The 27,741-nt window shown below is 57.7% G+C and overlaps 1 protein-coding gene and 1 pseudogene across 4 annotated transcripts in view, besides 2 other annotated features; one reads left to right on the forward strand and one right to left on the reverse strand.

Annotated features, from left to right (window-relative positions):
- The window catches only part of ZC3H3 (zinc finger CCCH-type containing 3), a 103,789-nt gene extending 87,667 nt beyond the window's left edge, over positions 1-16,122 (reverse strand). For all 4 annotated transcript variants that reach the window (XR_928313.4, NM_015117.3, XM_011516943.3 and 1 more), the window contains exons 1-3: positions 16,051-16,122; positions 12,678-13,995; positions 10,932-11,128 (exon numbers count right to left, since the gene is read on the reverse strand). Coding sequence is in view for 3 of the 4 variants with exons in the window: in NM_015117.3 (NP_055932.2) it covers positions 10,932-11,128; positions 12,678-13,995; positions 16,051-16,096 (1,561 nt within the window). In the remaining variant the exon portion in view is untranslated. The remainder of the gene's footprint in view (positions 1-10,931; positions 11,129-12,677; positions 13,996-16,050) is intronic.
- Positions 16,785-17,073, forward strand: RN7SKP175 (RN7SK pseudogene 175; annotated as a pseudogene).
- Positions 23,920-24,509: an enhancer, noted in NCBI's record as "H3K4me1 hESC enhancer chr8:144631415-144632004 (GRCh37/hg19 assembly coordinates)". NCBI's record gives its function as "activates a minimal SCP1, AML or CMV promoter by ChIP-STARR-seq in primed H9 embryonic stem cells {active_cell/tissue: H9 hESC(primed)}" and the evidence as "EXISTENCE:reporter gene assay evidence [ECO:0000049][PMID:30033119]".
- Positions 24,510-25,098: an enhancer, noted in NCBI's record as "H3K4me1 hESC enhancer chr8:144632005-144632593 (GRCh37/hg19 assembly coordinates)". NCBI's record gives its function as "activates a minimal SCP1, AML or CMV promoter by ChIP-STARR-seq in naive H9 embryonic stem cells {active_cell/tissue: H9 hESC(naive)}" and the evidence as "EXISTENCE:reporter gene assay evidence [ECO:0000049][PMID:30033119]".

The following is a 27,741-nucleotide window of genomic DNA, read 5'->3' on the forward strand; positions in this document are numbered from 1 at the left end:
GCCCTGAGGGGTGGCAGGTGGTGCAGGCACGGGCGTGGGCGCGGTCTCCTCTTCAGGATTCCTGTGGCCATCTAGAAGCCCTGAAGAGGGACACATGGCCCAGCCCTTTCCAGAACAGCTGAGCCCAGAGACTCTGTGTCCCTTTCCAGGCAGAGCCACCCAAGGGACCCCACAGCACGAAAGGGAGAGGTCTCAGCTGGGAGCCGAGAGAGGAGCGTCCCTGGGGCCCATCCTGAGGGGGCTCCTTGCATGTCGCCCTGCTCCCATGAGGACACGGACCAGAGGCTGCGGTCACCGGACTCAGCCCTGGAAAGAGGGGGCTCCAGTCAAGGGTGCCACAGACAGCCCTGGTCTTCCTGCTATGCCTTCCCATGCACCTCTCTACAGGAAGCACAGTTTGACCAGCTGGGATGCCGCCACTCAGCACCCACGCAGTGACCAGAGCTGGCCATTCACTGAAGCAGTTCTGTACCGAGGGACAGGATGGGACAGGAGGACAGGGAATGGGCCAGGCCATGGAGGCGGGCAGTGCCTCTGCACCACTCTCCCAGGAGGCCTCCCCACCCAGCTGGATGCCACGCCTGCCACACAACCCCAAGCCTGCCGTCCGCCTGGGCCTGGCACTGGCCCCGCTTCAGCGGCATCGGCCTGCGGCTGGCCCAGAGCCCAGGGTGCTGGCACTGGTGCTGACGATGTGGGGGGCCTGGAGAACCCCCACAGCCACCATAGTTCAAGTCCACCCAGGGCTACACCAAAACCCACGCTAGGATGCAGGCTGCTGCCCCAGTGGGGCCACAGAGGGCACTGACTTCAGTGGGGGTCCAGTGGGAGAACCCTGGAGAGACCCTGGCTGGACATTCTCTGTCTGCCATCAGGCAAGAGCCCAGCACCTCCCACCAAGAGTCACACCCATGACATCAGGGCCTCGCCAGGCTGGCCCACCAGTCACAGTCCCAACATAGCCCCAGAGCTCAGCGGATGCCCAGTGAGCAAGGGCAGGGCCAGTTCTGGAGAATGAGTGGCAGGAAGACCAGGTGCCTGCGGGCAGGAGACACTGGCCTGGGGCTGCTTCCTCTCCCAGTCCTGCTGCTGGTGCCGAGCAGGAGACCCCTCAGGGAACCAGGACTTCCTTCCCATCAGGACCCCGCCCAGCACGCGATTGGACTTGGTGCAGGGGGAAACAACCAGTGGGGATCACGGGGTTCCCAGACGATGCCCAAGTCCACATGGACTCTGACCACACCCAGCTTTGCCACGACCCACCTGTGGGACCACAGCAGGGGCCCTCAGGCAAGGGTCAAGGTGGAGAGACAGAGGAGGCTGGCAGGGGCCACTTACGGGCAGCAGATGGGGCACAGAAGGCTACAGCCCCAGCAGGGGACTAAACAGGGGCCCAGCAACATCCTGACCCCATGCAGAGAAGGGGCCAAATCCCAGAAGGTGCAGGCCACATTCGTCCCCAGCTGGAAAGCCGCCTCAGTGCCCAGAGCCACACCCACTCCCCAGTCCCTCAACAGGAGGCCAGCTGAGGCTGGCAGAGCCATGCCCCCATTACTTTGGTGGGAGAACCGAGAGCTGGTGAAAAGACACCGCCAGGAGGCAAGCAGGAGGCAAGCAGCACAAGCCCTGCTGGCCATGCCTGAAGATAGACCCCTGAGAGGCCGGCACAGGAAGAGGACAGGCGGGCAGAGTGGGAGGAGGACCAGGCCAGCAGGGGTGGCCATCGGGACGGCCCTGTGCCGTGCCCACCCGCCACCCGAGCACTTGGCAACGTGCCCCTGGCTGCCTGGTGGGGGTTAGCAGGTGGTGACAGAGCCTGTGTCCTGCACCCCAACACCCACTGCCTGGTGGACTCCTGAGAGAGGCCACCAGGGTGAGGGACCTACCCAGGCTCTCGGACAGGTGTCCTGCACTTGATTCAAAGTCTGCCAAGACACGTGACTGGGGGGATGTGCCAGCCCTGGGCTGGGAAGAGAGGGACAAGAGGACTACCTCAATCCATTCAACAAAAGGAGCAGCCCAAGCTGTCCCCAGTGTGGGGACCCAGGGTCCTACGGTGGTATGAGTTCTGGCTCTCCTGAGAACGCCACCCTGCCTGCGCAGCCCAGGTCTTCAGCTTGGCACCCACAGCACAGTGCAGCACCACCACGGCACACACGCGATCCCACGCCAGTTCTGTGAAGTAATTAATTAGCACAGCCACAACCCACGCAAAACTGGAGGCCGCCGGCATGCCTGATAATTTATGCAAGATTCAAAGATCGCTGTGGCTGCCTTTCCTGAAGCCTAATTCAGCATTTTCTTTTTCCCTTATGAAAGCAGGACTCCAGATCTAACTGCTCTCATGCCCTTTCACGGGGTTCACCGCAGTAAAATTGAACAGCCCAGCTGCACACAGCAAGCAATGGTGGATCACATACCCCAGAGGCACCAGGCAGAGCCTCCCAGGTGGGCAATGCTGGCCAGCAGCACAGCCCAGCAGGAACATCACACCGGGCCAAAGCACCCAAAGGCACCGCTCAGCCCCACAGCAAACATTCCTGACCCCATTCACAGATAGGGCACCGAGCACCAGCAAGGAGAACGGGCAGACAGGGCCAAAGTCTCCCGCCAGGCCACGCCCACACCACGCCTGGGGGCTCATAACCCTGCCTCCTGCATCCGGCAAAGGTCCAGGCCTCCAGCACCGGACATGGGGCTGCTCCCCAGTACCTAGCAGCATGGGACAGGGTGCCTGCTCCTCACTCTCGCTGGGGCCAGGGGAGAGTCTCCGGCCCCTCTGGCCCTGGCACCCTCCCCCACTGCCAAGACACAGCAAGCCCACCCTGGCAACCACCCTGCGGTGCACCTCGGGCCCTGCGTGCTCCTGCCTCCTCGGGGGCCGCCACTCATCTCTGCGCAGGGCAGGGGAGCCATATTGTTTCTGACCACAGCGCTCCAGCTCCCCACAAGGCTGGGACCCAGACCCAGCCAACTCACAACAGAAGCCAGGCGGCACTGCCGAGGCGCTGTGGGGCCAGCGGCCACGCCTCGGCCAGGCAGCGACAGACACCCTCCACGGTCAAGCTTCCATCCTCAGGCTCTGTGCAGCAGGTCAGGGCTCCACCCATGCCTCACATTCCATCCACGGCCAGCCTCCCGGGGAGATCGCCAGGCTCAGAAAGGCCTCCCAGCAGCCTGGCACAGGAGGTTACGGCGAGGATGGCACAGAAACCAGCCCCTCTGCTGGAGGCCGGGGATCGAGGCTGGTGGCACTCTGCCCACTTGCTCACTGAGCCTCTGAGTGCTGCTGCCGACCTCCACCGGCCTGCACATCTCAAAGGGGCAGGACAGCGTCAGGGCAGGGAGCCCTGTGTGGCTTTTCCTCCTGGTGGGCAGCCCTCTGCCAGGCCCTCACCCCTCGGTTGCCCGCTAAGCATGGTGACTGCCCCACCTTCCCGCCCATGGCCTGCCCATGGGGCCTCCTGAGGGAGCGAGGCCCTCCCTTCTGCCCAGGTCCAGTCCTCTGGGAGGGGGGGCGCCTCACCCTCACCAGGAGCTGCCGCAGCCTGAGGCTCACGTGCACGCAGGGCGGCCAGGGTGCTCCCCACAGCACCTTCTTAACAGGCAGGACGGACAATAAGCCGGCAATTCCTGCAATACAAAACATGAGGCAGGAGGAAGGAATGCCCATGGTGGCGGGGTGGCTGGCACGCGATCTTAGAGGAGCTGGCCTGGCAGAATGGACCACGGCCCACCTCACAGACTCCCGAATGAGGGGAGCAAACTGTGCACACCTAAGGGTGGGGGACGGGCCTGGCCAGAGGTTGGGCCTGGTTGGAGCAAGCCGGGCCTTCGAGGTGGGGCAGGGCCAGTCGAGAGAAAGCGGTTGGGTTTTTCCCATGCACTGGAATCCACAGGCTGCGCTGGTCACCGGGAGAAGCCGCTGGGGACAGAGGGACAGAGGGGTAGGGGGCCATCACACTCCCAAGCTGGTGCCTGCTCAGTGACACCCCCATAAGCATCTGTGGCCAAACAGTGCAAAGCCACAGCACGGGCTGGGTGCAGAATCCACCCAGGCCTCTGATGCCAGGGCTGCGTGGCAAACCACCCCCTCTCCAAGGCACCGGGAGGCAACACAGAAAGGATCGTGTGCACAGGGAGGACCCAAGGACACAGGAGGGCCCCAGGGACCTCTGAGGACTCAGAGAGGTCACATGAACAGCCGTCAAGGCAGGCCCTTCTGAGACCGAGAAGTCAGGAGGCAGCGTTCCAGGAAATGTCGCACCACAGTCGGGGGGAGACCCCACACAGGACTGGGCGGGCGGCCAGGGCTCTGGGGAGGCTGCCTTTGGCTTCACCAGGGCTAGAGGGTGAGACCCAGTATCCAGAGAGCGCCGTGTGCCTGAGGGACCCCAGCCTCTCAGGTCCCACCTGGGTCCTGCTCTGGGGCTGGGGGAAGCCACGACCACCTGGTGGCAGGGAGGGGCTGAGGGCCAACAGCTCACACAGGCTCTCCCTAAGCACTTCCTCAGAGAAACTCGGACTCGGGGAATGGGCATCCAGGCCCCAAAAGAGTCACCCAGGCAGGACAGCCCTGGCACCTAGTGACACCAGCCAGAGGTGGGTCCAAGACCCACGCCTGCCCTTTCTGCCAGTGAGCTGGGGTGAGTGGAGACTCCACTTCTCATCTGCAAATGCTGACAGCAGTTCCTCCACACCCAGGGGCGGGCACGGCAGACTGAGGGACGGGTAGGAATCGCCCTCCGTGTGTACAGCAAGCTCTGGGCCAGAGGCAGATGCCCGGCCTGGCTCCTGTCAAAGCCTGGGCAGCCGGCAGGCCTCGACCCAGCCTGGTTGTCCACACGAGACCACCACGCAAGCCAGGCCCTTTCTGTCCACCACAGGTGTGCCCAGGACCTGCCAGGCCCGCACCCTCCACCAGCACACTGGCGACAAGTCTGGGAAGGCGGCTGCTTCCCAGGCAGGGCCCTGGGCTTATTCCAGGCCACGGGGGAAGGGGGCAGGCCACCGGCATGCATCCACCATCCTGGGTGGGTGAAGCAGAGAGGGCCCTCCCACTCCAGCAGATGACGACACCACTGCCTACCCACCTACCATGACTTTTCCCTGGCGTAAAATAGCAGACGTTTCCATGTGGCTGGTAGGAATCCCATCACCTCCCGCCACCAAGAAGCTCCCCAGCCTGGGCACAGGGTGGTGGGTGGGAGAGCTGGCCCTCACTCCTGGCCTGGCCTGGAGTGTACAGCCTGGACAGCATCCCTCTGCACAGGCCGGCCAGGCTTAGGGAGTCATGCCTGTCATCTCAGGGTGGCCGAGCACAGCGACGGGCCCCAGGAGGATGTACCACGAAGCTGGCCCCACTTCCCCCGCACCACAGTGAGAGCCTGGCCACAGTGCTCAGCCGTGTGTACTGTAAACACTGTACTCGAGAACACTGATTGCCACAGTTATGTGAGTGGCAAACAGGACACCATTTTTCAGACTCCAAAAAGGTTTTCTTCTCTTCTGCCCAAATGCCCCCTCTAGCATCGGTCCACCAGAGACAGATCAACCCAGGCAGGTCTCTACTGCAGCCTCCAGCAAACATTACTCGCCCAGGCCACCCTTCTGGGGCTGTCTTCTATCTCCTTTTTTTTTTTTTTTTTTTTTGAGACAGGGTCTCATTCTGTCACCCAGGTTGCAGTGCAGTGGTGCGATCATGGCTCACTAGAGCCTCAACCTCCCAGACCTAAGCAATCCTCTCACCCCAGCCTCCCGAGTAGCTGGGACTACAGGCGTGTGCCACCATGCCCGGCTAATTCTCGCATTTTTTGTAGAGATGGGGTTTTGCCACGTTGCCCAGGCTGGTCTTGACCTCCTGGGTTCAAGTAATCACCCGCCTCAGCCTCCCAAAGTGTTGGGATTCCAGGCATGAGCCTCGGCACCCGGCCAGTGTCTCACATCCTCATCCCCCAGCTGCCAACAGACCCATCCCCAGGAGAAAAGGGAAGGAAGAAACGGAAGGCAAGGGGCACACTGACAGCAGAGGAAGAGACCCCCAGGAATCCCCTGCCCCGCCCCCAGCCGAGGTCTGACTCCAGGCCCAGAGGACTTCGGAGGGCCGGGAGAGGCAGGGAGGGGAGGAGAGGCACCGAAGAGTCAGGCTGAAACCTTCCAAACAGTCTCAGTCCCCAGGCGTGAGCGGCCACAGTGCTGCTGAACAATGCACTTTTGAATTCAATTAAAGCGATTATCTGTTGTGCCAAATAAATTGTGTACAGCATATATCCTGTGGCACTTTACACCTCCAGGCTCATTATTCCCTAACTGTTTCCTCCTGTTTATGCCTCTCAAATTAAATTGCTGATAATATGCGCCAAAATAAAAAATGAACGCACCTTGTCCCAAGAAAATTGATTCTCCCTTTTCCTGAACTGGCGATGGCCAGGTTTTATATACTCTGTTCTTGGTGATCATTAGTAATTCAATTTTCTTTTTATTAGCCCCCTTATCTGCTGAGCAATATAGTGGCAGGGCTGACCTCTTTCGCACGGGTAAATGTTTAAAATCTTTTCCCTGATTAATTTTGCCAGTTAAGAAAAAGAGGAGAAATGGCCCGGCTCTTAGCCATCACAATGAATAAAGCTTAATGTTGATTGTGACGGAATTTCTAATGCCAGGGAAATTGATTGAACGCGGCAATTACGCTGCAATAGTAACTCAGGGGAGATGGGATCGCTTTCTCCTGGCCGTAGCCTTTTGGTTATTTAAAATAATCCAATTTGCAAGGATAATTATGTATTAGCGTTTTATCTGCCACTTGAAATGAACAGGGGAGTTTCGATACTGGCCCAGCATTAGCAGGTTATTGCTGCAAATTACTTGGTATCTGCTTTCTTTCACATAAAAAGGAAATTACGCGATTACCAAAAAAGGGTGGACGGAGGCGATAGGAGGGGCAAGCATGCCCTCTGCTGGCCACTGGGCCGCACGGCAAGGCTGAAGTGCGGCGGGGGAGGGAGGCGGCAGCAGGGCTGCCTGGCAGCTTTCAGAAGCCCCTGTCCCTGGTGCATAAGTCCACAGGGCAGTCGTCCCCAGCTGGACACTGGGACACTGCCGTCTCCTTGAAGAGGAGAGGTGGAGCTGGAACTAAGCTTTTGCTGGGCAGAAAATGGGGAAAGAAAACTCCCAACAGCCAAATGAAGGAGCAGTCCCACCTGGCTGCCCCATCCACAGCCCACACGACCCCAGCATCCAGGAACGAACACCCCAGCCGATGGAGGCCTTGGCCACCCGGGAGGGCTGAAGGAGGGCCTGGGAAGGGCTCACTGGCTCACCAGAGCACTGCAGCGTTCAACGAAACAAAGCTGGGCCCTGCCCAGAAGCCCACTGGCCAAGGCAGAGGACAGGCAGGCCTCAGTTCCTAGGCAGGCAGGCAGGCATGGAGACGGTGGGCCTTGCAGGAGGGCACCTGGGGGAGCCACTCAACAGCTTCCTGGGCCCCAGCCTCCCATCTCCTCAGCAGACGCCCTGGCCACGCCCACCTCCCCTGCGGCCAGCTTGGAGTCTCACGGTGGCTGTCTCTGGGGTCAGCCGCCTGAGTGACCAGGCCAGGACGCAGGCTCGGCCTCTCACCTCCGCGCACATCTCCACGGGCTCCCTGCCTGCTTGAGAGCCTGCGGACTCCGCTCCTTGGCCTGGCGTCAGTGGCCTCACGCACAGGTCCTCCCGACTCTGCCCACTCGGGCCTGCCAGACACCCCGGGGCCCTGGACACGCCCCTCCCAGGGTCCTCCCCTGTCCCTCCCTGGCTTCCCAACGTAACCAGAACCAACCCCCCGTTCCCTCCTGTGGCCTACAAGACCCTTTCCCAGGACCTGGTCCCTCTGCCCCGTTGGCTGCATCCCCTCCAAGCCACACTCCCAGATGGTGAACTGGCCCCACAGCCTCCTTGTGCTCCAGAACACAGTAAGCTCGTTCCCACCTCCACCTCGGCCTCAGAGCTGAGCCCTATTCGCTCCTCTCTGCTCAGGTCACCTCCTCAGAGAAGCCCTCCCACTCGCCAACCACCTCTCTGCAGCTGGCCCTGTGCTCTCCCCCTGCCTGTTCCTCAGAAGGCATTTTCCACCCAGGAGCACCTTCCTGGCTGATGTACAAGCACTCCAGTGGCTGCCTGTCTCCACCACTGGAAGGCGGCTCCAGCCTCATCATCTCTTCACCTTCACTGCAGTATCCCCAGGAGCCGGCAGGCTGCCAGGCACAGTGACTCAACCACGCTTGCCAGTTGGGCCAGTGGTGGGCAAGTGAGTGGGACGCCTTCCCCACCCCTTCCTCAGACAGGACCCTCTCCTCTCACTCCATGCAGCCGCCACGCTGGTCTTTTTTTTTTTTTTTTTTTGAGACAAAATGTCACTCTGTCGCCCAGGCTGGAGTACAATGGCACGATCTAACCTCTGCCTCCTGGGTTCAAGTGATTCTCCTGCCTCAGCCTCCCGAGTAGATGGGATTACAGACGCTCGCCACCACACCCAGCTAATTTTTGTATTTTTAGTAGAGACGGGGTTTTGCCATGTTGCCAAGGCTGGTCTTGAACTCCTGACCTCAGGTGATCCACCCGCCTCGGCCTCCCAGTGTGCTGGGATTACAGGCATGAGCCACCACGCCCAGCCTCACGTTGGTCTTTAACTATGAGTTTGGCTGGGCACAGTGGCTCACACCTGTAATCCCAGCACTTTAAGAGACTAAGGCAGGAGGATCACTTGAGCCCAGAAGTTCAAGACCAGCCTAGGCAACAAAGCAAGACCCTGTCCCTACAAAAAAATTAAAAATTAGCCAGGCACAGTGACATGCACCTGTAGTCCCAGCTATTCAGCAGGGTCACTTGAGCCCAGGAGGTTGAGGCTGCAATGAGCTGTGACTGCACCACTGTACTCTGGCCTGGGAGGGAAGCAGGGCCCTGTTTCTAAAAACATTAAAAAAAAAAAAAAAAACGACGAGATCAATTACGCCCTTCCCTCTAGTGAGGCAGGACCGCAGCAGCCCCTCAGCTGTGCACTCCGAAATGGTCAGCCGGTGAAGCTGGTGGCCTCCCAAACCCACTCTTCCTGGCAGGAGTCCGGGGGGCGCCGAGCAAGGCCCCACCAGCAGGAAGCAACCTCCCCCATCCCCTGCCTATGCCCCACTCTACTAGAGGCCTGAAGAGGGAGCAGGCCAGGTGAGCAGGGCTGAACCTGCACCCAGTGGGGAGCCTCTCACCCCAACCACCACGCCATCTGCAAGCCTTGGCCTCCTAGGGCTCAGCAGACCCTGCTGGCCTCCCAGAGCTGGACACCTCCCCAACCCCTCCTCCCCAAGTGACCAGGGGATACCGCCAACTGTCCAAGCCACCCCTACCATCCACTCCCAGATAAGCCCACGACCTAACCACCATCCGGCCACCTCACTGTGGCCACCAGGGACCGCATGGGTCTCTGCTTGCTCCCTGTCACCAGGATGAAATCCACATGTCCTGGCGTGCAGCAGGTGTCGGCTAACGGGGTACAGCCGACCAGCGCCCCCAGCCCCACTTCCTCCCACCCCACTGTGCTGCAACACCCGGCTGCATCGCCCCATTCAGCCCTCCACCTGGGACCCAACGCCCTGCCCTCCCGCGGCAGCCCCCACACGGCTCTTGGGTCTGCCCAGGCCCAGCTCCTTCCAGAGCCGTCTGAAGCCTCCCTAGATGACGGTACGCTTGGCTGGGTTTCTTTTTTTTTTGAGACAGAGTCTCGTTCTGTCGCCCAGACTGGAATGCAATGGAACGATCTCGGCTCACTGCAACCTCCCAGGCTCAAGCAATTCTCCTCCCTCAGCCTCCCGAGTAGCTGGGATTACAGGCATGTGCCACCATGCCCAGCTAATTTTTGTATTTTTGGTAAAGATGGGGTTTTGCCATGTTGCCCAGGCTGGTCTTGAACTCCTGGCCTCAAGTGATCTTCCCACCTTGGCCTCCCAAAGAGCTGGGATTACAGCCATGAGCAACCGCGCCCAGCCTTGGCTAGATTTCTGAGCACCGGTTCCCAGTCGGAGTGCCCAGGTCCAAGCCTGCTCAATCCCCAACGCCCCACCTTCTCCAGATGTCACAGACACGAGCTCGGGAAGTCACTGCCCTAACGCGCCCAGCAGAGCCCCAGAGTCGCACAGGACCAGGTGCACACAGACGAACGTGGCTCCACACTGACCCCCACGGTGTCTGGGGGGTGCCACACCCAAGGGCTCTAGACCCTCACCACATACCCCCAACCACGTGCCCGCCTGGAGGCCGCTCCCCCAGTGTGTCCTGGCAAACATCACCGCAGTGGGGGTCAACCTCAAAGGGGCTACGCCCCACAATCTGCAGGCCGGGGCCTTCCCAGGCCACCACAGGGGCTCTCAGGGGCTCAGACCAGTTCTCTCCAGGCGTGACTGGGCACACTTAGAGTGGTACAGCAGGAGACCAGACCAATTCTTTCAGGCCACTCAAAAAACTCACACAGTACCATGTGACACTCAGAAAGGGCAGGGCAGGTAGACCTGCAGCCCCAGCCAGCTGAGCACAGAAGGGCCCTGGAGGAGGCAGAGGCCTGGGGGTGCCCAGCGCAGCACAAGCGAGGGCTTCACCCCTGCTTAAGGGCTCAGCAGCCGCCGCCCTCTCCTCCCTCAGGAGGGACACAGCTGGGTCCATACCAAGGGACACACAGAAGAGGCCACAGCACCTGCCCAGCAGCACATCCCACAGCCAGACTGCAGGGCGCAGCATCCGGGCCCTATCCTCTATCTGCCAGCCCACCACCACCGTCTGCCAGGCAGTGCCCTCCCAGCCAGGGCCTCTACCAGCATGAGGCAGGGAAGGTGCCCATGGCTCCTAACACGCCAGCATATCCCATCAGGCAGGCCCAGCCCCAGTGCCCAGCGCCCCTGCTCCCAGCATACCTTCCTTGGTGGGGAGGTGGGCCCGGCTCGGTGGCAGGCGACATAGTCGGTGCGTGGTGACCTGTACCAGGCCCTTGTTGGGGGTCTTCTTCAGGACAGGGCTGCTCTTCCCCCTGAGGGCCTGTCTCCGCCGGAGGCTGAGGTGGCTCTTGGCGGTGGCGGCAGGTGAGGTGCCGCTTTTCTTGTCTCCAGGAAGGCTGTGGAGACAAAATACAGGCAGCTCTCAACAAGCCCTGGGGGTTCTGCCCACCCACCCTTCCTCACCAGGACCCGAGGAGCGTGGGAGCAGCTCCTGAAGGCCAGGACCAGGCCACAGCGGGTCCTTTCTGGACCCTGCCTCCCTCAGCCCATGGCGGCCCTGCCCACCCTCCACAGCCAGGCTGAGGCGGCAGGCTTGGATCCACAATCCCAGATGACCCCAGAACTAGGGCAGGCTGCCATGCTCCCAGGGAGAGCAGAGGGGCCTCAGTGCTCCGTCCCCACCCGCATGTCCACCCCCTCCCCATCTGCCCAGGAAAAAGGAGCCTCTACGTGGGGCAAAGAGAAGGGCCGACATCCCTGAGGAGAGCGGCCACCGGCCCCAAGTGGCCTGCCAAGCCCCTCAGTAAGGGGGCAGCTTCTCCACGCTCCCTCTCCACACTTCCTGGACAGAGGGAGCTGCCAGCATGGTTTAGAGCAGAGTTGCCACCGAGAAACAGCCAGGAGTGGGAGCCGGGTGCCCATGCGCCTCAACACGGCACCTATCTGGGGGACGAGGGCCAGAGAGAATGAGCTACACGAGCCAGCAACCTAGACCAGACGGCAGGGCACCACTGTGTCTGATGACAGAGGCAGGACCCCCGCCCTCTGCCCAGCAGGTGCAGCCACCACCTTAGCTGCCAACCTCATGGAGTCCCTGAGCCCAGACCAAGCACTGTGCCATGACACCATCTCTGAGTCTCATCACAAGTCCGCAAGGGTGGAGGCCGGGAGAGATGTGCGCCAAGCAAGTGAGTGACTCTGCCTGGCTGCCTGGCCAAGGGGGCTGGGACCTAACACCAATCTGCTCGCCCTGGGACCAAAGGCCAACTGCAGCCTCAACACTCCGCAAGGGAGGCCACAGAGCCCAAAGCCAGGAATGCCTAAGGAGGCTCCCGCCTACCAGCAGCCCCCGGCCCCTGCCCACTCAGACCAGCTGGAGCAGCCCTCAGCCTGAGGGCCAGCAAAGGCCAGGCCTCCTGGAGCCCAAGCCCTAGACACGGGGCATGCAGGAAAGACCAGGCACCCCTGGCAGGGCCCAGAGCTCTGGTCCACCTCCCAGCACAGACCCGTGGCCGGCAGGTCCAGGCCAGGGGCAGACACACTGCTCTCTGTCTCACCATCCCCCTGGGGACACATGGACCCTGGACTGGTCCCTGGGAGCTACTCCCCCTGCGCCTGGCCTGGCACAAAGCCTTCCCTCTGTGAACCCTGTGCAACTGGAACGGAAGCTGCCCCCAGCGAGCTGCTTGTCTCTCACCGGCAGGAGAAAGGATGGGCTTGCCAGCAGTGTGAGGGACGGGAAACCTGTCCCCTAAGTTTATGCCGGCCAGGGCCCCGGCCCCAGGCAAGCCCAAACCACCACAGCAGCACTTCCTGCCTCATTTCTTGCTGGAAATGTGAACGCAACTGCAGGCAAAGCTCCGAGCTCAGCAGATCCATTAGGGGTGCCAAACAAACCCTCCTCACAGCCCCTCACACTCTACCGCAGCCGGCCGGGATGCCCACCTTGTGCTGCTGCGTCTCCGGATGATCTTGGTGCGGCTCTTCACTTTGTAAGCCGAGAGCGGGGTCTCCCCAGAGAGGGGCTTCAAGCCACTGTGTCCTACTGCTGGTCTGTCCCCCGACGGGGACCTAGACAGGACTGGGGAGAGCTGGGAGGCATGGTCCTTGCTGCTGGCCTCCGACTGCCAACGGAAGGAGGAAGAGGAGGAGGCAGAGGGGCTGGAGGCCTTCCACTTGTACTTGCTGGGGGCAGACCCTGGCTTGGAGGACGTGGCTGGCTTCCTGGGCTTGGGCTCTGGGTCAGCTATGAGCTGCGGCTTCTCCACCTTGTTTGCCATGCCAGCAGAGGCCTTGCACACATTCTCTGCAGCCACTCTGGGACTGAGGGCCCTCCGAGCAACCCGGGGACTCTTCGAGGAGGCAGCCACCCATTTGTAGTTGTTTTTCCGGAACTTGTTAGTTCGACAGGTCACAACCAGCGAGGCCTCCCGGGCCTGCCTGGGTCCTGAGGCCGGTCTGGCGGGGCCCCCCACTGAGCCAGACGGAACTGGCTGATCTGTGTGGCCAGCATCTACTCTCCTGTCCCCAAGGAGCTGTGGAGCACAGCTGGCCACGGAATGAGAACCCAGCTTCCGGCCCAGGGCCACGCCAGTGCGTGGGGGCAGAGCGGAGGATGGGAAGCTCGCCTTGACGGCAATCACACTCTCACTGACTGTCCGGCGGGGCTCCCGGGGGCTGTCGCCCACACTGCCCACTGACTTCACCATCCTGGGCTTACCAGGCTCCTTCTGGCAGACCAGAAGAGGATCTTCCACACTGCAGGTCCCCCTGGCTCTTGTTGGCCTCGAGGGCTGCAGCTGTCCCCGAGGGGGCTCACCTTCACCTTCCCGGGGCCTTTGGTCACTCCAGGGGGTTTCCTCAAATTCTTCCAAAGAGCCCCGCTGGGCCCCTGAGGCACTGGCAGAGCCAGACTTTGATGGCGGTTTAACTTTGATGACCACGTTCTGACCCTGACTGAGCTGGACCTGTCTCTCAAGGACATGCTGCTGCGGGACAGGAGGCTGGCCCCCCCGGGCCCCGTGCAACGGCCGCACAGCATGGTCGGCAGGAGGGTCTGAGGGTCCCGGGGGCCGATTCACGAGGGAGTATTTCTTGCGCCACGAAGGCCCATGGTGGGAAGAGTAGCCCCTCCGGCTTGGACGAGGGTAGCGGGCACTAAAGGCTCTGCCACTGTGGTAAGTGGGTGGCTGCCACCCAGAAGCTGCTGGGGTACCAGGGGCCGGGGCATTGCCGTGGAGGGTTTTGTAGTCATCAATCAGACCTGAGAAGACAGAACCACAGGCCCAGTTAGCCAGAGGGTAACCGCGATAATCATGACTACCCTGGAAGGGCATCAGCTGGCAAGATACCCCCAGATCCCATCTCACTTCTGAGCCCCTGCCAGTTTCAGGAGGGGCAGCCCCCAGAGCCTGGGACTCACTGACAACTCAGCCCGCGTCACCTGGGCCTGTCGCTTCTATGAGCCTTTTCTCCATCAGCTCCACTTCAGTCCTACTTCTGCCTGCTTCACACAGAAATGAACCGTGTGGTGTAACAAGCCTTATTTGCTGGTCTACTGAGTCCACAGTCATTTGCTGAGACGTGTCACTCAGTCTGAAGAGAATCGCAATGATCCCCTCTGCACTGTTTGAATCAGAGGGGACAAGTGGCCGCACAGGCCCTCTGGCTTGCCTACAGATGGAAAGGAGTCACTCCACTGAGTGTAACAGAACTGACACTCTCGAGGACCCCATGCCTGACAACAGGAAAAAAGAATACTAGGAGCAGAGGCCATTGCTCTGCCAGATTCATAGTCTTCCCTGCAGAAGAGGAAACATCAATGGGCTAGAGTCCTACTGCAGTGAACTGACACAACCACAGGACTTTCCAAATAAGTCCCTGGATAGCTACCCCGGTGCAGGAGGGCCAGGAACACAGGCAAGGGCGGCAGCAGCCAGCCTCCCAGTTATCAGCATTCCCCCACCACAGGCCCTGCCCCCGGGGGCACAGAAAGCCACGTCCAGACGTGTTGACGCCCCAGAGCAGGTGTGATGGGAGCTCAAGAAGTGTCCCCAAGTGGGAGGCAGCCCACCTGGCCTCTTATCCATACACACTTTCCCAATCCTTAAGTCTTCCCTTTGTGAGAGTAAAAGCAAAAAGGATTTTTAATTTTTAAAGCTTTTTTTTGTTTGGTTGGTTTTGGCTTTTTATTTGAGATGTGGTTTTTCTCTGTTGCCCAGGCTGGAGTGCAGTGGCCCAATCACGGCTCACTGCAGCCGGGACCTCCAGGGCACAAGCAAACCTTCCACCTCTGAGTAGCTGGGACTACAGGCGCAAGCCACCACGCCCATCTCACTTTTTAAAATTTTTCTGTAGAGACGGGCTCTCGTCATGTTGCCCAGGATGGTCTCAAACTCCCGGGCTCAAGCCATCCTCCTGCCATAGCCTCCCAAAGTGCTGGGATTACAGGTGTGGGCCACTGCGTCCGAACATGGATTTTCTTTTTAAGTTTAGAAAGACCAATTTGGGTTTTTTAATGTTTAAGTGTGGAAGCTGAAGCCTGTTCAGTCTGCGCCTGGAATGGCAAGGGGAGTGTGACTGTTCGGAGAAAAGGGGCATCAAAACCGGGCGTCGAGGCTGGGAGCGGTGGCTCATGCCTGTAATCCCAGCACTTTGGGAGGCCGAGGCGGGTGAATCACCTGAGGTCGGGAGTTAGAGACCATCCTGGCCAACATGGTGAAACCCCGTCTCTACTCAAAATACAAAAATTAGCCAGGCGTTCTGGCGCCTACCTGTAATCCCACGTACTCCGGAGGCTGAGGCAGGAGAATCACTCGAACCCAGGATGAGGAGATTGCAGTGAGCCGTGATCGCGTCACCGCACCCCAGCCTGGGTGACAGAGCAAGACTCTGTCTCAAAAAAAACCGGGCGTCAAGGAAGGAACCCGCGTGCGCCCTTAGCCTGCTCTGCCGAAATGAGCCATGAACTAGTCCCAGCCCCGCAGTGGGGCGCGGGGAGAGAGTGGGCGCCGGGGGACGCGACAGCCCGCGGTGGTGGGGAGGGCCGCCGCCCCCCGCGGGTTACTAAGCGACGGCCCTGCCTCCACCCTCTGCAGCCCCAGCAGGGCCGGCACCACTCCCTCGACAAAGCTGGAGCCGGGGACTGACCCGGGCCCTGAGCCGGCCCACAAGTCCTGGCGGACCCTACCGTCCCCCACCCCAGCCGCCACCCAGAACACGCGGGCGGTGAGCGACCCCTTCGACAAGGGGGCAGGGGACCCGCCGCGAGGTGAGGGGGAAAGAAGGGGACTCGCGTCCCGGCCCCGGCCGGACCTACCCTGCAGTAGGCGGATCTGCCGCCGTAATATCTCCTTTTCCTCCATCTCCCGAGTCCGCGACGGCCGGCCAGGCCCCCACGACGTCATCGCTACGCGACCTTTTTCCCGCGGGCGGGGCGGAGCGGGCCAGGGCGGAGCTGCCAGGAGCAGGCCCGGATGTCTGCCGACCGCCGAGGACCCGCCGTCGCGCTGACAACGGCAGCGGAGAGGCAGAGCCGCGCACGCGCAGAACGAGGCGGGGACGTCACTAGTGAGCGCCGGGAAGTGGCCTGGTAACGGCTGGGAAGGGACTGCTTGGGCTCTGGGAGGCCGCGCGGGCCCAGCTTGTGCAGTCCGGGATCGCGTCCCCTTGGGAGACTTGGCGAGGGGCGAGACCTGGGGCCCACCCAGCCCATACCGCAGTTCCTTCCCACAGTCCCTGCGTTTCATTTCGCCCCAGTTGAGTGTTGGGGGGGGGGGGGTCTACGCGGGGACCCATGGGAGAAGGGCCAGTTAACAATTACTCTTGACCCAGGAGGGTCTGTGAAACCTCTTACTGTGGCCAGAGGAGAAGACATCGGAGAGCAAGGTTCCCTGGATAGACATGTTGAACCTCTGAAAACATGAAAGTTTTTAGTTCGTCATTGGAAACATGTACAAGTGTAAACCTCTGTGCGCTGTTGGTGGGAATGTAAATGGCGCAGCACCGCAGAAAACTATGGAGATTCCACAAAAGGTTAAAAGTAGAACTACCGGATATGAGGGCGATCTGGCTGCGACACCTGTCATCCCATTGATCGCCAGGGTTGATTCGGCTGATCTGGCTGGCTAGGCGGGTGTCCCCTTCCTTCCTCACTGCTTCATGTGCGTCCCTCCCGAAGCTGCAGCTCAGTCGAAGAGAACGACCATACCCAATAGAAGAGCTGGGCTTCCCTGGTAGAACCTCCAAACAAGCTCTCAAGGTCCATTTGTAGGAGAAGGTAGGGTAGTCAAGATTCCAGACACATCCAAATGAGGCGCTGCATGTGGCAATCTGCCTTTCTAGGAGAAAACAAAAATGGAACTACGGTATGATCCAGCAACCCTACTTCTGGCTATATTCCCAAAAGAATGGAAACCAGAGACTCAAACATATTTGTGCCCCCATGTTCACTGCAGCATTTTTCCCAATAGCCAAAAGACGGAAACAACCCAAGTGTCCACGGGTGGATGGAAGGATAAACAAAATGTGATCCATACAAACAATGAAATATTTTTCAGCCTTAAAATGGAAGGAAATTCGGCCGGGCGCAGTGGCTCACGCCTGTAATCCTAGCACTTTGGGAGGCTGAGGCGGGCGGATCACGAGGTCAGGAGTTTTGAGACAAGCGTGGTCAACATGGTGAAACCCCGTCTCTGCTAAAAATATAAAAAATTAGCCAGGCGTGGTGGCGCACACCTGTGGTCCCAGCTACTCAGGAGGCTGAGGCAGAAGAATCGCTTGAACCCAGGAGGCGGAGGTTGCAATGAGCCAAGATCAAGCCACTGCACTCCAGCCTGGGCGACAGAGCTAGACTTTGCCTCAAAAAAAAAATAAAAGGAAAAAAAGAAGGAAATTCTAACACAGGATACACCATGGATAAACCTTGAAAACACTGTGCTTTGTAAAATAAGCCAGTCACTAAAAGACAAATCTTGTGTGATTCCACTTCCATGAAGTATCTAGAATACAGATTCCTAGAGACAGAAGGTAGATTAGAGTTTCAGTGGCTGGGATAAGGAGGAATGGAGAAATGTTGCTTAATGGGTGTAGGCTTTCTGTTTGGAGTGATGAAAAAGTTTTGGAAGTAGTGGTGATGGTTACACAAAATTATGACGGTAATAATGCCACTGAATTGTACACGTTAAAATGGCTAGGCTGGGCTGGGCGCAGTGGCTTATGCCTGTAATCCCAGCACTTTGGGAGGACGAGGCGGGCGGATCACAAGGTCGGGAGATCGAGACCATCCTGGCTAACACGGTGAAACCCCGCCGCTACTAAAAATACAAAAATTAGCTGGGCATTGTGGTGGGTGCCTGTAGTCCCAGTTACTCGGGAGGCTGAGACAGGAGACTGGCGGAGCGAGACCCTTTTTTTTTTTTTTTGAGACTGCAAAGCCCTTCTTAAGGTTCTGTACCAGCACTTTGGGAGGCTGAGGTGGGTGGATCACCTGAGGTCAGGAGTTAGAGACCAGCCTGACCAACATGGTGAAACCCTGTCTCTATTAAAAATACAAAAATTAGCTGGACGTGGTGGGGGGGCGCCTGTAATCCCAGCTACTCAGGAGGCTGAGGCAGGAGAATCACTTGAACCCGGGAAGCCAAGGTTGCACTGAGCCAAGATCGCACCATTGCACTCCAGCCTAGGCGACGAGTGAAACTGTATCTCAAAATAAATAAATAAATAAATAAATAAATTTCTTCAGGCTGAAGAGGATACAATATGGAGACTCAGATCTACAAGAAGAAAGAGTATAGGAAATGAGAAGTGTGTTAGGAAATGAAAATGTTTTCTCTTTTCTCTAAAACAAGTAGCTGCAGCAAAAATAAGATACCAAGGTTTCTAACATATGTAGACGTGAGACACATGGCAACAGTGACGCAGAGGACTCCCGTGCATGGTGCTTCTGAGGAGACACCTGTGCACGCAGGTAAGGACGCAGTCCACAGCCTCCACCCAGCCCGCCTCTGTCCTGCTCCCAAGGCCAGCACTAGCGAGGCTAGTGTCACTCCACCTCACATACAGTGATGGGCACTGTGAGGGCTTCTCTAGCGGCAGCAGCAAAGGCAGCTTGCTGGCTGGAGAGGGCTGGCTCCCCGAGCAGAAGAGTGAATGAATGGAGGCTGGGAAGTCCAGGCAGTAGAACAGGCTGACTCAGGCCATGGGAGCCCCAGCCAGGAGTCCCACCTAGCCCAGATGGATCTAGGAGAGGCGGAATCCATGTGAAACCATCTTTGCTTCCTGCTGCCTTGCAGACCCCATCCAAGCACCACCCAGTCCTGTCTATCCTCCCTCCTCATCCTCCTCCTCTCCCGTTGCAACTCTCCCAGCTGAACACTTGGCTAGAGCTTCTGCCTCTCTCCCTCCAGGCAGCCTGCGAGTGGCCTGGAGACAAGCCCATGGGTGACTCTGGAGTGACCTATGTGCCAGGACATGGGTGACCATGAGAGGACTCTGAGAATGAATGGGATGAAATTTCCCACCATGGGGCTTGATGAGCAGTTGTGCAGTGGACTAGCCCTGTCTCGTTTCCCTTGAGACTCTTGTGACCACTACCTTGTGACAGCCGGGACTGGCCTGCCGGACCATGAGCAGCACATGCAGAGCACTGAGAACAGAATGTTTGTGCCCCCACATGCTAAATTCATCTGTTGAAATCCAAACCGTCAATCTGATAGAATCAGGAAGTGGGGCCTCTGGAAGGTGGTTAGGTCATGAGAGTGGAGCCCTCGTGAATGGGACTAGTGCCCTATAAGAAGCAGACAGGACAGGCGCGATGGCTCACGCCTGTAATCCCAGCACTTTGGGAGGCCAAGGTGGGTGGATCACGAGGTCAGGAGTTCGAAACTAGCCTGGCCAACGTAGTGAAACACTATCTCTACTAAAAATACAAAAATTAGCCAGATATGGTGGCACGCACCTTTAGTCCCAGCTACTCAAGAGGCTGAGGCAGGAGAATCGCTTGAACCCAGGAGGCGGAGGTTGCAGTGAGCTGAGATGGTGCCACTGCACTCCAGCCTGGGTGACAGAGCAAGACTCTGTCTCAAAAAAAAAAAAAAAAAAAAAAAAAAAGCAGACATTGAGACATTGTGGCCGGGCGCAGTGGCTTACACCTGTATGTAATCCCAGCACTTTGGGAGGCCCAAGGCAGGTGGATCACCTGAGGTCAGGAGTTCAAGACCAGCCTGGCCAACATGGTGAAACCCCGTCTCTACTCAAAATATAAAAATTAGCCAGGCATGTTGGCACATGCCTGTAGTCCCAGCTATTTGGGAGACTGAGGCAGGAGAATCACTTGAACCCAGGAAGTGGAGCTTGCAGTGAGCCGAGATCACGCCATTGCACTCCAGCCTGGGCGACAGAGCAAGACTCTGTCTCAAAAAAAAAAAAAAAAAAAAATTGCCGGGCATGGTGGCGGGTGCCTGTAATCCCAGCTACTCGTGAGGCTGAGGCAGGAGAATCGCTTGAACCAGGGAGGCAGAGGTTGTAGTGAGCTGAGATCATGCCACTGCACTCCCGCCTGGGTGACAGGGCGGATTTCTATCTCAAAAAAAACAGCAGCAGCCAGAGACTACCTCTCTTTTTTCTCCACTGTTAGATGTGAGTTCTAAATTTCTTTTCAAAGAATCAATATGTCAATATGTTCAGTTCGTTACCTCCTACTTTTAAACTTCCTCATAAAGCAACATTTTCCGATTACCTGCTCCACCCTGACTCATTCCAGTTACCTGCTCTGTCATACCCATTTTTCCCGCCAAACCACTCACCCCATCACTCTCTTTAAATCAGCCAATCGGAATTATTTAGCCTGTGCGGTCTAACGCTAGCTAATAGGGGAACAACACAGCAACAGGGACCACTTGCGTCAGGGATAAGAACCACTTCCCCTCCCGTGTCCAGATGTGTGCTCACCATTGCTCCATCTGTAAGGGTGCACCCTTCTATAGAAGTATCTTGCCTTGATGAGAATTAAAAGGAAAATGTGATATTGGAGTGCTAGTTCTTTTGCGGCACTGAAACTTTATATATAACATCCACCACGTGATAACAGCAAGATAACAGCTGGGCCAGGAACGGTGGCTCATGCCTGGAATCCCAGCACTTTGGGAGATCCAGACAGGCAGATCACTTGAGCCCAGGAGTTCAAGACCAGCCTGGGTAACCTAGTGAAACCCTGTCTCTACAAAAAAATACCAAAAATCAGCTGGGCATGGTGGTGCGTGCCTGTAGTCCCAGCTACTAGTGAGGCAGAGATGGGAGGAGTGGTTGAGCTCAGGAGGTTGAGGCTGCAGTGAGCTACAATCACACCACTGCACTCCAGCCTGGGCAACTGAGCAAGATCCTGTCTCAGAAAAAGAAAGCGAGAGAGAAAGAGAAAGAAAGGAAAAAGAAAGGAAGACAGCTGACTGTGTGTCTGTGTGTCACAGGGAAAATCCCCAAATGGGGGCTCAGCCCGGGAGGCCACATGGGTTCTTGGCTTCACATAGGAAATAATTTTTTTTTTGAGACAGAATTTTGCCCTTGTTGCCCAGGCTGGAGTGCAGTGGTGCAATCCCGGCTTACTGCAACCTCTGCCTCCCGAGTTCAAGTGATTGTCCTGCCTCAGCCTCCAGAGTAGCTGGGACTACAGGCGCACGCTACCACGCCTGGCTAGTTTGTGTGTTTCTAGTAGAGACAGGGTTTCACCATGTTGGCCAAGATGTTCTTGATCTTCTGACCTTATGATCCGCCTGCCTTGGCCTCCCAAAGTGCTGGGGTTACAGGTGTGAGCCACCGCACCCGGCCACAGGAGAGAACTTAAGAGCATGCCGGTAGACGAAAATGAAAGCAAGTTTATTAAGAAAGTAAAGGAAGGCCAGGCTGGTGGTTCACGCCTGTAATCCCGGCACTTTGGGAGGCCAAGATGGGCGGATCACGAGGTCAAGAGATTGAGACCAGCCTGGCTAACATGGTGAAACCCCATCTCTACTAAGAATACAAAAATTAGCCGGGCGTGGTGGCAGGCACCTGCAGTCCCAGCTACTTGGGAGGCTGAGGCAGGAGGATGGCGTGAACCCAGGAGGCGGAGGTTGCAGTGAGCCGAGATTGGTGCCACTGCACTCCAGCCTGGGCGACAAAGCGAGACTCCGACTCAAAATAAATAAATAAATAAATAAAAACAGGAAAGGAATAAATGGGTGGCTATCGACAGCAGAGTAGCAGTGTGGGCTGCTTGACTGACTCTTGTTATGATCATTTCTTGATTATGTGCTGAACCAGCAGTGGATTACTCATGAGTTTTCCAGGAAAGGGGTGGGGAGTTCCTGGAACGGATTGTCCTCCCCCTTTCAGACCACATAGAGTAACTTGCGGAAGATACTGGCGTTTGTAAACCATCATGGTGCCGGCGGGAATTTCCCGTAGTATGCTAACGTGTTGCAATGAGGGCACAGTGAGCCGTAAGGATGAACAGAGGTCGCTTTCATCACCATCTCGGTGTTGGAATGAGACCACCACTTCTCCTGTTGTCCTTCCCAGCTTCTCCCCCACCTCCCCTTTTCCCTAGTTTATAAGACAGGAGAAAAGGGAGAAAGCAAAAAGTTGGAAAGAAACAGAAGTAAGATAAATAGCGAGACGACCTTGGCGCCACCACCTGGCCCTGGTAGTTAAAATAATAATAATAACATTAGGCCAGGCGCGGTGGCTCACGCCTGTAATCCCAGCACTTTGGGAGGCCGAGGCGGGCGGATCACGGGGTCAGGAGATCGAGACCATCCTGGCTAACACGGTGAAACCCTGTCTCTACTAAAAACACAAAAAATTAGCGGGGCGTGGTTGCAGGCACCTGTAGTCCCAGCTACTCAGGAGGCTGAGGCAGGAGAATGGTGTGAACCCAGGAGGCGGAGCTTGCAGTGAGCCGAGATCGCGCCACTGCACTCCAGCCTAGGTGACAGAGCAAGACTCCGTCTCAAAAAATAATAATAATAATAACCCCTGACCAAAACTACTGGTGTTACCTGTAAATTCCAGACATTGTATGAGAAAGCACTGTGAAACTTTTTGTTCTGTGAGCTGATGTATGTAGCCCCCAGTCACGTTCCTCACGCTTACTTGAGCTATCATGACCCTTTCACGGGGACCCCTTAGAGTTGTAAGCTCTTAAAAGGGCTAGGAATTTCTTTTTCAGGGAGCTCGCCTCTTAAGACATGAGTCTGCTGACGGTCCCAGCCTAATAAAAACCTCTTCCTTCTTTAATCCGGTGTCTGGGTTGTTTTGACTGCGGCTCGTCCTGCTACAGTATTGATGGGTTTTGACTGGCTTCTTTACCGCAGCCTGCTTTATCAGTGGGCTCTCTGTGACCTGTATCTTGTGAAACAAGTCGTGCTGAACTCCCATCTCATCGAAACCAGGAAGTGGACCCTCACCAACAACCCAGCCAAGCTGGCACTTTGCTCTCAGACTTTCAGCCTTCAGAATTATGAGAAATTTCACTATCTAAGCCACTGATTCTTTTTTTTTGAGATGGAGTTTTGCTCTCATCACCCAGACTGGAGTGCAATGGCGTGATCTCAGCTCACTCAACCTCTGCCTCCGGGTTCAAGCGATTTTTGTGCCTCAGCCTCTTGAGTAGCTGGGACTACAGGCACCTGCCACCACGCCTGGCTAATTTTTTTTTTTGAGACGGAGTCTCGCTCTGTCGCCCAGGCTGGAGTGCAGTGGTGCGATCTTGGCTCACTGCAAGCTCTGCCTCCCGGGTTCAAGCCATTCTCCTGCCTCAGCCTCCCGAATAGCTGGGACTACAGGCGCCCGCCACCACACCCGGCTAATTTTTGTATTTTTAGTAGAGACGGGGTTTCACCGTGTTAGCGAGGATGGTCTCAATCCCCTGACCTCGTGACCTGCCCACCTCAGCCTCCCAAAGTGCTGGGATTACAGGCATGAGCCACCGTGCCCGGCCCAACGCCTGGCTAATTTTTGTAGTTTTAGTAGAGATGGTTTCACCATGTTGGCCAGGCTGGTGTTGAACTCCTGACCTCAGGTGATTCACCTGCCTCAACCTCCCAAAGTGCTGGTAGTACAGGCATGAGCCACCGTGCCCGGCCATAAGCCACCGATTCTGTGGTGATTTTCATAGCAGCTCAAGCTGAGTGAGACTCCGGTTTCCTACCACTGACCCTCCTGCCAACAGTTATCTGCCCAACATGTTGGCCGACTGACTGTCTCTTGCCCACCAGTGAACCCAGATGGCACCACAGGGACCAGAGTTGAGCCATCTTAGGCGAACACAGCCTAAATTACCAACTCCCATAACTATCAGCAAATCAGTGGATGTGGTTTTAAGCCACCGCATTTTAGGGTGCTTTGTGACACAGCAAAAACTGATGTATTCTTGGGTAGTAGGGTGGTGGGAGAGGCCCAGCCACTTGCTGAGACAGGGCAAGGTGTGTGAGTTTGTTTTCTGGGGTTGTGAAACTGTAAATGGGATGTGAGCACTGTCAGAGTCAACTTGCTACAACTGGTCTCCGCAGTTACGCTGAAAGCTCTGGCACGTGTGAAACTGGCAAACGTGAAAACAACCCACCTTGGCGGGAAGCAGAGTCACCTAAACCGCCTGCTGTGCACACCGGTGTTCGGAAGGGCAGCGCACTGCACATCCTGGCCAGGCTGCTTCGTGGCCGTCTCTCCCACCGGGGTCTGCAGGTGCTGGCCGCCCACTCTTCCTCGGCGTCTCCTTCCTTCTCATGGAGCCCCTTCCCATAGCGCTGCCCAGTGTGGGTCTGAGTGGGGTGGGATTCCCATCAGACTTCAGTAAACAGATGAACCCCGAGAGTAAGCCATCACTGTTGTCTGTTGCAGTGGACTTCTCCCCTCCTTCCCCACGGGGGATTTTTCTCTGTCCCCATCCCACCTCCCTCTGCTCTCCTCCCCTCCCCAACACCCAGCTTCCAGCTCTTTTCTTATGCAGGGGCTTACTCTGCACCAGAGCCTAAGCAGCCTTCTTCCCTCTGGGTCCGCAAGCTGCCCTGCGCCTGCCCAACACCCCCCCAGGGGTGCTCTGGGCCTCAAAGCACCCCACTTCTCTCCAGCCCAACCTCAGAAGGCTGCCCCAAGCACTAGCCTCTGTTGGGGAAGGGAGGACTAATAAGACGCAGTGTAGCCATGCTAAACGCACTTTTATCAGGGGACATGCGCAGAATGTCAGGCCTTTTGTGGGCTTGTTATGTACCCCACGCCCCCCAACACCACTCCCCGGACCCCACCACCCCTCCACCCCACCCCTAACCCCATCTCATTGCCCTGCAAAAGTCCCTGCCTCTCCCCTCCAGTGACCCAGCCACACCCACCCCGGGGGTGTGGCCCTGGAGCCCTGACCCCTCCAGCCACCTTCCTTGCCAGGTGGGGGTTCTGCATGCAGCCAGGCCCCAGGCCCTCGTGATAGTGGCAGGAGACAGACAAATGCCTACGCAGATAGGAGTGGGTCCCTGGTGGAGCTCCACCTCCAAGCCAAAGACAGCCTGAAAGCCAAGCTACAAGTTAAATCCTCAGACCGGATTGAGAACCTGACTTCCTGTCTGGCGTGCTTTCCTCTAATTCGTCCCCACCCTTCACCTATTTTACATATACCTACCCTACCGAATTGGCTTTCTACATCATCATGCCCACCTTTCAGTGGTGCCTTTGCTTTAGTCTCTCTTTGAATGCCCACAAACCAATCAGCATGCCCTCCCCTGTTCTGAGCCCATAAAAGCCCAGGACTCAGCCACATTGGGAGAGAAACCACCCCAGCATCATCCCCTCCACTGACAGCTATTCCATTGCTCAATAAAATTATTCTCCACCCTCCTCACTCTTTATTGGGGTGTGTTGGGGTTGTTTGGAGACAGAGTCTCACTCTGTCACCCAGGCTGGAGTGCAGTGACACAATTTCGGCTCACTGTAACCACCTCCTGGGTTCAACCAATTCACCTGCCTCAGCCTCCCGAGTAGCTGAGACTACAGGTGCCCACCACCACACCTGGCTAATTTTTGTATTTTTATTTTTTGAGACAGAGTCTCACTCTGTCACCCAGGCTGGAGTGCAGTGGCGTGATCTCAGCTCACTGCAACCTCCACATCCCAGGTTCAAGCGATTCTCTTGCCTCAGCCTCCCAAGTAGCTGGAATTACAGGTGCCCACCACACCTGGCTTTTTTTTTTTTTTTTTTTTTTTTTTTTTAGTAGAGACAGGGTTTCACCAGTTGGCCAGGCTGGTCTCAGACTTTTGAACTCAAGTGATCCTCCCACCTCAGCCTCCCAGGCCTGAGCCACTGTGTCCAGCCCCTCCTCACTATCTGATTGTCAACATATCCTCATTCTTCTTGGATGCAGTACAAGAGCATGGGACCCATCGAACGTGGTACAGAGAAGGCTGTAACACTGTGGTCCTCTGCCCTCCATGACAGAAATGGCGGTGGGCCTGAGCCAGCCCTGAAGTTGAGGGCCGAAGCAGGGCAAGGGCCGGCTGGGTGTCTCCAGCTGGCAAAAGTGATTGAGGAAAGTCCTGCATCACTCAGGTGGGAACAGGTGTCTGGCCAGCCACACCCAGTGCCCCATGATGCCCCTTGTGCCCTCTATTATGGAGGGAGAAAGTGACAGTGGGAGAAAACTGCTCTAGAGGTCTGGTGGGTCCCCCTCATCCCACTCTCCCCACTGTCACGGATGCGCAGTGACACCTACCTCCCACTGCAAGGCCCTCACACCCTCTGGGCTGGGGACCTTGGGAGAAAGTATATTTTTATTTTAGAGATGGATTCTTGCTCTGTCACCCAGGCTGGAGTGCAGTGTTGTGATCTTGGCTCACTGCAACCTCTGCTTCCCAAGTTCAAGCGATTCTCCTGCCTCAGCCTCCTGAGTAGGCGCATACCACCATGTCTGGCTAATTTTTCTATTTTTAGTAGAGATGGGGTTTCACCACGTTGCTCAGGCTGGTCTCCAACTCCTGACCTCATGTGATCCACCCACCTTGGACTCCCAAAGTGTTGGGATTACAGGCATGAGCCACAGCACCAAGCCAAGAAAGTGTATTTTGTTGGTCTCCTGTTCCTGAGGTCAGGCATTGCCATCAGGCTCTCCGGGACCATGGTGGGTGAAGGGTGTGAATCTCTCTGTGCCAGGCTTCCACGGGCATTAAACACTGGCCAAAGTGCAGGAGTTCCCCACCTGCATGGAAAACATTCCCCACCCCCAAAGTAATGCCCGGATCCTGGCAGTGACGGCTTCTTCTAGCAAAGTGAAGAGAGGCGGAGGCCCAGAAAGCCAGAAGCCAGGTGGGGCATGCCTCTGTGTCACCCTCCCTCAAGCCCACCTCAGACCTGCCCAGGGAGCAACACTCCTTCCAGAGCTGGGGAGGAAAGGACAGGCCTCAGGGCAGGGACCCCAGAAGGGGACAGGATGGGGGGTGCGTGCCAGGGAAGAGCGCTGGGAGGCAAGGCCTGGGTTCCCTGCAGGCAGCGGCTGGCCCCTAACCCCATCGCCCTCTGCCCCAGGAGCGGGTGTAAGCCGTGGGGTGCCCAGGAGCTGCTGGGGGAGTTTTCCTGAGGCCCCCTGGCCTTAGCAGGGCTCTTCTGCCACCTGCCTCTCCTCACTCTTGGGGCGCCTCTGAGCCCGACACCCCTCCCACAGGGCCCCCATCACCACAATCCGCCCCATGTGGGCTCAGACGCCCAAAGCCCTGGAGGTGGGGGTGGGGGGATAGGGAGGTGGGGTGGGGGGTGGGTTGTGTGTAGAGCAGGGGGCAGGAGGACCAGCAAAAGTGAAGCTGTGAAGAGGCAGGGTGGGGCAGAGTGGGAAAGGCGGGGAGGGGTAGGGGGCAGGGGTAGGGGAGTGGGGGGAGGGGAGGGGAGGGTGGGGGTAGGGGAGGGGAGGGTGCGGGGAGGGGAGGGGAGGGTGCGGGGAGGGGACGGGCAAGGCAGAGAAGCCAGCGAGGAGTGAGGCTGCCAGGACATAGTGGGGAC

Source organism: Homo sapiens, chromosome 8, assembly GCF_000001405.40.
Source record: "Homo sapiens chromosome 8, GRCh38.p14 Primary Assembly".
Taxonomy (NCBI): domain Eukaryota; kingdom Metazoa; phylum Chordata; class Mammalia; order Primates; family Hominidae; genus Homo; species Homo sapiens.